General features: G+C 40.0%; 2 long non-coding RNA genes across 3 annotated transcripts in view; one reads left to right on the top strand and one right to left on the bottom strand.

Annotated features, from left to right (window-relative positions):
• The window catches only part of WDR11-DT (WDR11 divergent transcript), an 89,368-nt gene extending 83,720 nt beyond the window's left edge, over positions 1-5,648 (top strand). Inside the window, exon 3 of the long non-coding RNA NR_033850.1 lies at positions 3,785-5,648. This is a non-coding gene — a long non-coding RNA (WDR11 divergent transcript). The remainder of the gene's footprint in view (positions 1-3,784) is intronic.
• LINC02930 (long intergenic non-protein coding RNA 2930) overlaps positions 1-12,830 on the bottom strand; it is a 216,730-nt gene that overhangs the window by 57,852 nt on the left and 146,048 nt on the right. The window lies entirely within an intron of this gene.

The raw sequence follows: 12,830 nt of genomic DNA, 5'->3' as shown, positions 1-12,830 counted from the left end.
AAGTGATAAAACTAGGCTATAAATCCAGTCACTCGGACTCTGGCCCCTAGGCTTTTGGCTATCTGGCTGTACTATACAGGCCTCTGGAAAGTTTAGAGCAAAGAATTGATATTGGTTATTTCTTGAAATGGGTCATTTTCTTCTTTTAGCTTATCTGTAATACAAGTATTATGAAGATAATATGCATATATTTATGCAGTAGATATCTTACATTGGAAAAAACAATCTCAATTAGAAAAACCACAATTAAAAAGGTAATTAGAAAGAACACAATAGGAAAAAGGACTTCTGTAAATCTTTATTTCTGTCTATGGAGTTCTTGAATGTATTTCACAGGCCAGTTTGCAGTACTATTTGTCTGCCTGTAATCTTTTTAAATACTCCAAGGTCTAATTGTCTAGTTGCTTAATAAAACTGATTCCCTTTGAGGTTCCCTAACAAGCTAAATAATGCCTTTCAAAAAAGAGCTGAGTAACCAGTTAAATGGAATTACATAGGCACGACTATTTGCTGCTTAAGTCAACTGTGATATTCTCAGACTTCATAATTGGTTATGTATTTGCTAACTCTGCGGCAAATGAACATCTCATACTTCCTAGTTTGCCAGTATAAAAGAAAATCATTTAAAACTTTACTTTCTGATATGTATTTTATGGTAAGATGTTGAAAAAATATACATTTTCAAATGCTGAACACACTTCTATAAAAGGTCATGCTGACCATTGGAAAATTAGCTGGTATATATAACTTCATCATTTTAGCAGTTCAATTAATCTCAGTTTCACAGCATAGAGTGGGGTGGAGAGGAGGAAAATCAAAACGATGCCTAGGGCACAGTCTCTGAATTTGAAGCAGCATGGACTTCCTCCAGATCAGAGGTAGATGCCTAGTGAATGCATCAGTGCTATGACTCCCCAGAACGTTATCATTTGGGGAGTTTCTGTTCAGCCCTCCAGATCTCCAGGGCCATTAACCAACAGCTGTTTGCCTGTGTTCAGGCCTATGGCTTAGATCTAAGGGTAACAGCGTCATCCTTGGGCGTGTACAGTCAAAGATGGAGAGTTTTTATTCCTTGGTGGCTCTGGCTCATTTATCTTTAGAGTTTATTGCCAGTGATAAAGAACTCTTATACATCCTTAAATATGATGTTGTAACATGAAAACATGAGATTCTCAATATTAATGGTCTCTGGCACAGCAATTGCCTTATTAATGCTGGTGGAGATCTGGTTTCCCCAAGGGAGAAGATGGCCCAATAATGATACAGTCATCCCCAATACTCATGGGGGATTGGTTTCAGGACTCCCCACCATCAGACACCAAAATCCATGGATGCTCAAGTCTCTGATACAAAGTGGCATAGTATTTAGATAGAATCTACACACTTCCTTCTGTATACTTTAAATCATCTCTAGATTACTTACAATACCTAAATACTACGTAAATAGTTGTTATACTGGGTTTTCTTATATGTATTTTTGTTGTATTGCTACTTTTATTTTTTTCTAATATTTTTGATCTGTAGTTGGTTGAATCCACATGTGTGGGACCCAGGGATATGGGTGTGGGCTATAGTTACAATCACAGCTTCATTGTAGCAGGCATCACAGCCTACCTCACATTAGCCATTAGCCGGGTGTACATGTGGGCCACAGCTTTGATAACAGTCATAGAGCAACAGTAATGAATTCCTGCTGTGGCCACACACTCATAAGCTCTTGACATGCACTATTTCACTAAATCCATCCCTATCATCCTAGGAGGCAGATCCTCTTATCCCCATTTACACATGAGGAAATGGAGGCTCTGAGAGGCAAAGTCACTTGCTCAACATTACAAAAGCTGCTGTAGAGGGGCAGTGCTGAGGCTTATAGCTATGCCTGCCTAACCCCAAAACCCCTGTGGGTTGAATCTCTGTGCCATGTTATCTCAACACAGCACAATTTTCAATGTGGAAGATACCCAGATAGGGAGTCCTGCATCCTGGCTGATGAGGGGGTGGGGGAAGGAGGCCTCAGTCAGAGCAGCAAACCGGGGAAGTTTATTTCTCTTGTATTGCACCCCACCCCCACCAGCCAGTACAGTGCTGGGGAGAAGCCATGTGCAGACTGTCACCCTTGACTTTGAAAGGCCCAGCTGCCATCTATAGAAGAGGAACTCCAAGCAAAATGACAACTGTCTTTCCAATTCTACCACAGATGCCATTTCACTCTTGCAGAAAACTGTGTTTATTTTCAGAGATACCTTTGAAACTTCAAATAGACAATGACGCTTGCTCAGTCAACCTGTGGCTGCCTCTTCATCTCCTAATGGTGAATTCCAAAAGCAGCCGACAACCCCAGGTCTGGTTAGAGGAGAATGAGACCAGCGGGAGAGCTCGGCCAGGCTGAAAGGATAAAGTGATTGGAACTAAAAGGGCTAAAGACAGGCCAGGGGGAGGAGGGACTCCAGAGAGAAGGGAGAAGCTAGGGAACATCAGGATGAACCCCAAACCTGCTAATGCCCCTTCTATGCTCAAATCCTCTCTCCTCAAACACAACCTTCCAATAGCACAGCTAGTCCCCAGCTCTACCAGCGCTGGGCCCTGCCCCTTCAAGACCAGACTGTACAAGGCCCAGGATTCAGGCCGAATTAGCTCTGACTCTGATAGTGCCCCATCCCTCATGTACCTTGACTGTCACTTGCTCTGGCACCCACCATTAGATCTGATTATCCAAGACTGTGGATTCAGTTCCTCTTGATGCCCCCTTGCTGCAATTCATTTGATGTGACTCTCCAGACATTTTATTCTAACTTGCTATGAGCTAGGCTTTGTGCTGCATCCTGCAAAGGATCAAAGGAGTTGAATCTTGGCTCTGCTACTGGAGAGCCCTGAGCAAGTTCCCTAACAACTCCCCTCCTTTTCTGTAAAATGAGTATACTATACCCACCCTGCTGGCTCTTGGGATGTCATCATCATTAAATATATTAAGGCACCAAGCTCAGCTTGGAGGTAGCTGGGACTTTGCTAGGTGGTATGAGATGGAGGCAAACGGCCCCAGTTAAAAGCTCACCTGCAACCAAGGCACAGCTGCAGGTGTGTGGGGTGTATGTCTGGAGAATGTGCAGCAGCAGGCAATAGTGTGTGGGCAGAGGTTGGAGGAAATGTGAGAGAATAGGATAAAAAGGTAAGTGTGGGGCAATGGCTCCACCATGGTGCCCTGGTGACTTGCACCTAACCAGAGAAGCTACCTCTTGAATGGCTTGGCACAATGCCTGTGCTCCTCCAAGGACATGAGGCTTGTAGGAGCTGCTGTGAAGCCATCTCCCACTCATCTCCCTCTCTCCTTGAGAGGTTGTCATGAATCAGTTTCTCAAGGTCTCCAGGGTGCTGACAAGGTTTGGCGCTTTCTGCCCTGTTTCCCCCACTCCAAAAGTAGAGCTGCAGAACACGAAACTGTTCAGCCAAAATCTGCAAGTGCCCCAGCTCATGGTGTAGTCATCTGATCCCTTCCATTTCAGGGTTGCTCAGTTTGGTGTTTGGGAAAGATCATGGGGAACTGGCCCCCCTCTTCACTGTCTATATAAAAATAATAACTGTCTAAACCTATAAGTGGTTCACTGTCTATTACCAGCTGAATTAGCCAGGCTTTGGCCTTGGCTTTGTTTTGTCTCATGTGCATGCACTTGGCAACAACTAAACGTGAAATTGTAGAGGTGGAATATTAGGGTGAGAACGTATTTGTGAGGTTTTTGAGCTATATCATCCTTTTGGATTTCTGACCTTTTGCCTTCTATTTTCACAGCTAACCCTAGGATGACTGGCCTCTGACACTTGAGCCATCCCATCATCTGTCATGGGTTGACCCATCCATCCCCTCAATGAGCCTGACCTTCAGGACCACTGACAGAGGAGCAGTCAATAGAAATTAATTGTTAAATACCCAGAAAATCTGAAATGGTATTTAATATGCAGTTCATCAAGAGCAAAAGTTCCTTAAATCTTCATCTAGAAAAGTTATTTATAAGGGATGAATATGTTGTATGAATATGTTGTATGCAAATATTATATTCAAGGGCAAGACCATGAAAACAGTTTAAGAATCCGACAGGGAATTAGATAAAGACATCGGAGTGCACTTGTCAAAATACAGCTATCAAGAATGATGATGTTGAAAAATAGTTTAGCAATATAATTGTCTAGAACCACAGGGAGTCTGAGATTTTACCCAACTTGTGAGTTAACAACTCTGCTATAGCTTCATGAAAGAAGACACAAGACTCCTGGGTCAGGAACAAAGGTCTCTAATACTCACAGCAATATCAGGAGCCAGAATTTCAGGATCCTTTTTCCTGCCAGTTTCTCAAGTCCTAATTACCACCGAGTTACAGGAAAGGGCCAGGTAACACTAGCACTGCCATCAGTGGCTGTATTACAGAACAGGAACTCCAAGCTTAGGAAACCCAAATCTTTTATAGTTAACAATGAACACATCTGCCATTGTTCTGAAGGGAGACGCTACCCCAATCTTCCACACCTGTTCACTATATAAATATCTGTGAAAAGATAGACAGAAAAATAGGTGGAGAATGCCTCTGCTCACAAGATGTGCAGAAACGTGAGAGGCTCATGGAGAACTGTTTCCCTACAATGACAAAATGCTGACGATATATTGTTATGTAAAATAAAGCAGGCATTTTTCACCTCATTTTCATGAAATATAGTGTGTTTATATAGATATTTAGAAAAGTATGAAAGGACATTCATCCAGATATCAATAGAAGAGTTTATTATTTTTGCTAGTTGTAAGTTCAAACTTTTCTAGTAAAAATAGATTACTTGTGAAATTATTTTTAATCTTTTTTTTTTTTTGAGATGGAGTCTTGCTCTGTCGCCCAGGCTCGAGTGCAGTGGCATGATCTCAGCTCACTGCAACATCCACCTCCTGGGTTCAAGCAATTCTCCTGCCTCAGCCTCCTGAGTAGCTGGGATTATAGGTGCATGCCACCATGCCCAGCTAATTTTTGTATTTTTAGTAGAGACGGGATTTCACCATGTTGGTCAGGCTGGTCTCGAACTCCTGACCTCGTGATCTGCCCACCTCGGCCTCCCAAAGTGCTAGAATTACAGGTGTGAGCCACTGCACCCCTCCTAAATGTCAATTTAATAACTGAGGGAGCCCTTAAAATACCCCGCTGACTTCCACACGGGTGTGTAAAATAGAATCTGCTCACGTCTTAGAGGAGATAAGTACATGCTTAATGTTCTTAGGAGAGACCTGCCTTTTGACATGGAAGCTGTGGTATTGTTGACAAGAGCATACCTCCTTAAACCATGCAAACCACGTTCACATCAAAGCTGCCTACGAATGATTATTTTCCATGATGCTATGCTCCCTCCTGCCTGCCTCAGTGGCAAGTGTGACTCAGCAAGTGTATCCAGGGCATCCCTCACTCTTACTTATTTTTGCCAAATGCAGTGGAAATGTATAGACTTTTTTTCATATTTATGTTGGCTGCAGAGCATAAATCTGAATAGGTTCTCCAAAGTAAGCTTTTTCTGCATGCATTTGCTCCCAATGATGATAGGTATTATGAATTGCTTTATAGTAATCATTATCCTTTTCCATATGTTTTACGGTTAGTCTGTGCTATAAACTTGTTTGATTTAATGATTTGGGTTCTCTCTCTCTCTCTCTTCTCTCCTCTTCTCTCTCTCTCTCTCTCTCTCTCTCTCACACACACACACACACTATACAACATACAGTTTCTTGTCTTTAAACAGGGATAGTGATTACCTTATAGATTGTGATTAGGATCAGATAAACTATAAGTAAAGCCCTGTGGTATAATGTGTGGGACAAAACTAACACAATTTCAAATTTTCTGCAACAAGTAAACAGTATTTTATAATTGACAAAACTAAAAACGAACTTTAAACTTAAAATTTCATATTACACAATTGACAATTCAATTAACTTTCCAATATTAGTGTCTCTGCGTATATATGTGTACAGAGACATATGTAACTTATTTAACTTTAAAGTATATTTTCTAATAGCTATTTAAGAGCCATCAAACTTTCCAAAAAAAGAGATAGCTTTTAAAAATAAGTGTTTCAACTTGTGATAGTTACTTGCATAAATTGATAATTTAACCAGCTAATTATTAAATCTATAATAGACAGGATGAAGCAGCATTAGGAGAGGGTATTTATCAGTTGCCTGGGGGCTGTCTCATAGCTTAGTTGAAATTCTTTTGGTTGCAAATGTCACAAACCCACTTCAAATTAGCTTAAGCTCAGGCAAAATTTGCTGGAAGGATCCTGAGGCAGTAGCTCCAAAAGTCAAAGAAAAAGCCAAATAACCCAGTGATCAGGAAAAAGGAAGAATGAAGTAGGAACCTCTAGGGCCCAAGGTTGTGGATTTTTCTTCTAGAGACTTGACATCCACATTACTCAGCAATATTTTCCCATTTGCTTTTTCTCTTGACTTTAATTCTGGAGAGAGAGGAATTGAGTGGTGCAGCTTGGGTCAGGTGTCCACATGTCCACACCTGTTGTAAGCACCTATGGCTGAGAGGTCAGGGTCACATAACAGAAGTATGGCTGCTGGGGCCCAAGCCCATGCGTGTGCATGTGTTGTGTATATGCATTTCTGTGTGTGTGGCAGGGAGTGCAAAGGTGGAGGGGGTGACACTCAGGGATCTGTGGCTGGACTGGCATCCCTGAAGTTCTTCTCCACACATGTTTTTGCTTCAGAGGGATAGAAATTTCCATTCCTCTTACATTTTTATAACATTGTTAGATGACTTCCTCACTCTGGATTTTGGTGTTCTAACCAGAAGTTCATAGGCAATACCTAAATGCTCTTTGAGCTTCCGCAGTGCACATTAATACTTCATCCAGCAACTTGGAGAGTCCATCTCAGTAGAAAATTCAGCTGGTTTCACGTGGAAACACCCACTGCCCTTAGTAATGGAGCTGCCAAGAATGAATCATGCTCAAATTTGTCCTTTTAGCAGAATAATGCTGCCCTCTGACAGCAACTGAATAGGCTTTTATCTTTTGGGGAAGTAAATTTTCTTCCTCCATACAGTTTCATTAATATTTGTGAACTGAGCCACCATGCTTGCCTGCATGCCTGTGCCAGGCCCTCTTGCGGCAGCCCACTCCCACTCCCCTTAATTCACTAATCATCTGCACACAACGGGCTGGAGGAAGATGGAACTTAGCCCTGGCTGGGGGCAGGGACCTGGTTGTGAACCCTTGGCCTAATGGAGACTTGGTCAAGCAGTATCAACTGTCAGGACTTTTATTTCCTGATCTGTAAACTGGGATCAGAATCTCCCCCTTTTTTTTTTTTTTTTTCATGATGGAATCTCGCTCTGTCGCCCAGGCTGGAGTGCAGTGGCACGATCTCGGCTCACTGCAAGCTCTGCCTCCCAGGTTCACGCCATTCTCCTGCCTCAGCCTCCCAAGTAGCTGGGACTACAGGTACCAGCCACCACGCCAGCTAATTTCTTTTTGCATTTTCAGTAGAGATGGGGTTTCACTGTGTTAGCCAGGATGGTCTCGATCTCCTGACCTTGTGATCTTCCTGTCTCGGCCTTCCAAAGTACTGGGATTACAGGCATGAGCCACCGTGCCCGGCCCAGAATCCCCATTTTATCCAAAGAGCTGAAAGAAGGCAGTGGGGATAATAAGTGTGAATGTAGTTTGGATGCTGTAAATTTCTATGTAAATGTTAAGTATATTCTCCATTAAAAAATTCACCAACCTCATTCTCTTGGGTGTGTTAAATCACATGCATTCATGTTTCCAGTCAACCAGAGACCCCACTTTTTCCAAACTATGTGGCAGAGGAATAACATCTGTAACTATTTTGTTTGAGCTACTTCTTTCATTTTAGAAACTGTGAAATCATCAGAGAAAATAAATACTCTGTGATATTCACACATACTTCTACGAGAGTAATTAGGAGACTCTTTGGCAAAGTTACATATAAAATATCCCCGGGAGATTCATTTTCTACCAAACCATTCAATAAAAATGAAAAACACTCCTCCCAACTCTACTCCCACCTAATTCCCTCAAGACCCCATATCCTTGTAGTTTCATCAGGGTTACTTATATTTTGTTGCAAATACAATTATTACCTTGTTACCTAGACCCTCAAGATGTAAGAGTTTTATGCACATAGGGTCACCACACATGATTCTGCATTATTCAGAAGAGGTAAATCATTTGTTCTCCTGCAAAAATAGCCCTGTATCTATAAAATATCCTTCCCATCCTGAAGATAATTTATGCCTCCTGACCCTCAAAGAAAATGAGAATTTCTGGCCACGGGCTTGGGGTGCATCCATTAGTGGCTCACCCATGTGTTCACAACTGCATTATCTAACAGCACATCTGACTGACCGCACAAATTTGCATAGTAAGCCACGTTGGCCAGCAGGTGAAATTCAAAGGCAGGATTATCAATAGCATCAACAGCTACAGAGGGGTCAAGGAAAAGAATTATAAAGGTCATTTGTTCAGAGAGAAGGTGGCCACTGGTGACTTTGGAGAGGTCACTCTAACAATGGCAGAATGGCAGAATGAAGAAGTCAGAATGCAAAGATATAAGGCAGGTTTTGATGCTGAGAAAATAGGAACATAGGTAGTTATTTGCTTGACAAGTAAACTAACAACTAAAAGGAGGGATAGAACTATGCCTCAAGAGAGGCAATTCATTTATTTTCTTAGTTGAATAGCCAAAACATGTTCATGTTTGAAGGCCAAGGGGAAGGAGCTAATGAAATCTACTGGTTATAAGCTGTGCAACCTTTGACAAGTTACTTGATTTCTCTAAACCTTAAAAGCATCTCTTGTAAAACAGGGGTAGTAATACTATATATTTCATTGGGATATTGTGACCTTTAAGTGAGGTAATTTATGAAATACTTAGCTTCACACAGTGCTAAGTACCCATTAAGTGATCAATAGATAAAATACTGATTTACAAAGAGAAATAGGAGGAGGAAAAGTAAGAAAGAGGCATCCAAGGCAGCAACAGAAGAGAGAAGAAGAGGAGGAGATGGCAATGAAGGAGCTAGAAAGGAACCCCTGCAGCTGTAGGGAGAAAGGATGGTTGAATGTGCAGAGAAGAATTTTCCATCGTAAAGAGGAGGATAAGATAAAGCTTCTGGTGGACATTTCCAAATTTCTCAACAAAGGCGACAGTTTTGTTGAGACAATAGCAGGAAGGGGGTGGTTAGAAGACAGGGAAAAGAGCCCAGGATTGCCATTGTGAAATACACATTAAGACTTCACAGAGGTGAACATGGAGATTATAGAGTAGCCACAAGAGCCCATTTGAAATAAAAAGAGAAGTCCAGGGCCAGGCACCCAGGGGCAGAACAGCAGGTTAGGACAGAGCAGAAACTCAAGGGAAAGAAGACAACTGAGAAGAGGTGAGGGCAGGCTGTCTTCCTTTTGTGTGTTTTTCCTTCCCTTTCTTTCCTTCTCTCTGATTTCCTTTCCTTTTCTCCTTCTCTCTTTTCCTTTCTGATTTCTTCTTTAAGAAGTAATAAATAGTAGAAAGAGTGGTTAATCATTCGTTCTTCAGTGTTTTCCACCTTCTCATGAGACTCAAAGAATTGATGTCTGTTCTGTAGGCTCTTGTAAAACATATTCAGTTCGTCTGAAGAAGGAGCTGTATAGATGAAAATAACAGCACTAATAAATGCTGAAAGTCTCACAGTATTAACATGATTATATGCAGCCTGAAAATGGATTTCAAAGCCAGAGAAGCTTAGGTATCAGAAAGAAAAATGTCAATGTAATTGGAAATCTATCCTAGCCTTGTATCTGCCTGCACTATTTACTCTGTTTTGGGGCTTTCTTTGTGATTAAGCTATTAAAATGCAATCACTCTCCCTTTTTAGGCCAGCCAAAACAATGTAATTTTTTTCAAGCAAAGTATAACTATAAAAAGTTAAAATACAGAACATGACATTACATATCATCTAAAATATCTTTGAATAAATTTACCAGTTTATTGAAGCAGTGTTTAGTGAGAACCTACTATGTGCTAGGCATTGTGCATTTAATGGGGCTATAGGCCTCATGGTTCCCATAATCATCAACACTCACAATCTTTAGAAAAAATTTCAATTCTGGACAACATGGAAAATTAACATAAGCCATTGCCTCCCTTCCTCAAATCCAACTTAGGAGATTTTAGGGAAAGAAACAGAAGACATGTGGATGGATCCCCGCACTTAACACCAAAACCATGAAAAACCCATGGGAAGATGAAAGATAGTTAAATTCCTGTGTGATAGGAAGATGATAGCCTATATCAGGAGAAGCCCAGGGCCATAGATGGGATACGTGCTTGGAATGCTGGCTGAGTGTACCTTTTATCTCTCTTACCCTGACCTCAGTGGGCTATTGATCTCCTATTGTTTGAGTGGCAAAGCACCTCCCCAAATCAGAATGTATCAGAGCAGTTAGCCAACATCGGCACAGAGCTGGAGACCCTCTGGAGTGAGAATAAGTGTGGGGAAGCTGGCCAGCCCCTGAAAATTTCCTCCTTACCTCTCCAACCCCAAAGCAGAGAGGAGCAGTTGGAAGAGAGAAGTTACCGGGGCTCTCTGAGGGTGAGGTCTCAGGAGGTACAGGGTAGGGAGAGGTAGGAGAAAGCAAACTGGAAGTGGTTGATTCCTGATAGAAACATCTGAAGCTGTGCAGCTTAAAGCATACTCCCCACCCCTAAACTCACAGTCTAAGATTTTGATTCTCCTTCAGGTATACATTACTCTCCGTGTCAACTGAAATTCCCAAGGGACATGCAAGGTTTGGGGGTGCGGATTTAGGAGTTGTTTAATAAGACTTCTTTGGAGCACACACACCCTGAAAGGCAGTATATCAAGAAATATCTACTAGAGACACTTAAAATAAGCCTAGTAAATATCTTTTAAAAGGGAAGGAGTGATATTTGAACACGAAGTAAGAACAAGTAGTTACAGATAAGAAACAATGGGAGATCCTGGGCATGAAAAATATAAGTATAGAAATGAAAAACTCAGTAGATGTGTTGAAAAACTGAATGGATACTTCCAAAGACTAAACTAGTAACCTGGAATTTCAAGTTGAGGAATTGTCCCAGAGAGTACCAGGAAGGGTTAATGAGATGAAGAGAATAAAATTAACATTGAGAGACATGGAAGACAGAAAAGTATCAGCATTGATTCAATGCATGTTCCAGGAAGAAATAGAACAGTAATGCTTTATGCAAGAAGACAGTGAAATAATATTTTTTCAATGCTGAACATAGACATTTTTGAACCTAGAACTTTGTAACCAGTTAAGTTTTTATTTAAATATGATTGTGAGATAAAGATATTTTCAGGTTGACAGGGCCTAAAAATTGTTTCCTACTTCAAGAACATATTTGAAAGAAATACTCTAGCAAAGAGAAGAGATTAATTCAGGAGAGAAAAATGAGGTATAGGAAGTATGGGTGAGTAGATAAGTTTTATTGTTGCTTAGATGTGCAATGACCTCCTGTACTTCCTTCTTACAAAAACCAAAGCATAGCCATGACAATACAAAGTAAACACTCTCAATGAGTATAAATTTAGTTATTATAAAAATTACAAATTAATGTTACAACTTAATGGGAATTTTATAAGGAGAAACCATTAAATGAATAGAAATAAGAAGTTAACTGTTCAAGAAGAACACATGATTTATTCAGTGGGAGACAAGAAAGAGGGAAAAGGAACTGCTTAAGTGCTGTTGGATTTTAAAAAGTGAGATTTAAAAATATGTTGCTCCCAGGAGATATATATAACAAAAATACAGAAAAATTGAAAGTATAGCTTGTACAGATATTAACAACAAACTCTTGTATAACAATGTTCACATTAGACAAAATTAAATTAAAAGGGGAAAACATCACGTGAGTTAAAGAGGAAAGTTATACATTGTGAAAGGAGCTAGGAGAGATTATAATTGTGAATCAAAATGCACCTTAAAATATGCAACTGAATAAAGCAACAGAGAGCATGTATAGATCAGCAACTAGAGCTGGAGATTATAAGACAACATTTTTAATAAGTGACAGATCATGCAGAAAATATAAACAAAGAGATAAATCTGAATTAATATGATAAATAATCTGGACTGTGTATAAAAAGCTATATTCTTAGCATTCTTGGAAAAATAACAAATAGTATCATGTAAAACACAAAAGAAGCCTTAATAAGTTCCAAAGAATCAAAAACCAATATTATATTTTCTTATAATGCAACAAAATTAGAAATGAATAACTTGTATAACTAAAAAATTTGTCCTATGTTGAGGGAAGGGGTGAGATAAGCATTCATTGGTTAAGGAAGAAATCATCAGACAAATTGCATTCACTTAAAGGTGAGTGATAATGAAGGTGCCACATTTTAAATTTGTGAGATGCAGCTAAAGCGATATTTAGAGGGAAATTTAAACCTTTCATTACATATAACAGAGAGCAACAACAAAAAGGTTACTACAAAAAAGTTTAGCATTCAACTCTAAAGGGTAGATAAAAAGCAGCAAAGTCAATAAAAAGAAACAAGAAGGAATGTAACAATAAGGATAAGGACAGAAATTAATGAGAACAGAAAGAAGCAATTTAGGTAATTAATAAAGTTGGTTCTTTGAAGACTAATAAGACAAATTTCTGGCTATATTAATCAAGGAAAAAGGGGAGAAGATGCAAAGTAAGCATCCAACAGAATTTGAAGGTGAAAATATCTACCAATATAACTGTAAGATTTGAACAAAAACACAGCACTCAAAATATAAAATAAATAAACACCAGT

This window comes from Homo sapiens, chromosome 10 (genome assembly GCF_000001405.40).
Source record: "Homo sapiens chromosome 10, GRCh38.p14 Primary Assembly".
NCBI classification, from domain to species: Eukaryota; Metazoa; Chordata; class Mammalia; order Primates; family Hominidae; genus Homo; species Homo sapiens.
Note: the sequence above shows the minus strand (reverse complement) of the source record. Positions and strands in the feature narration are given on the sequence as shown.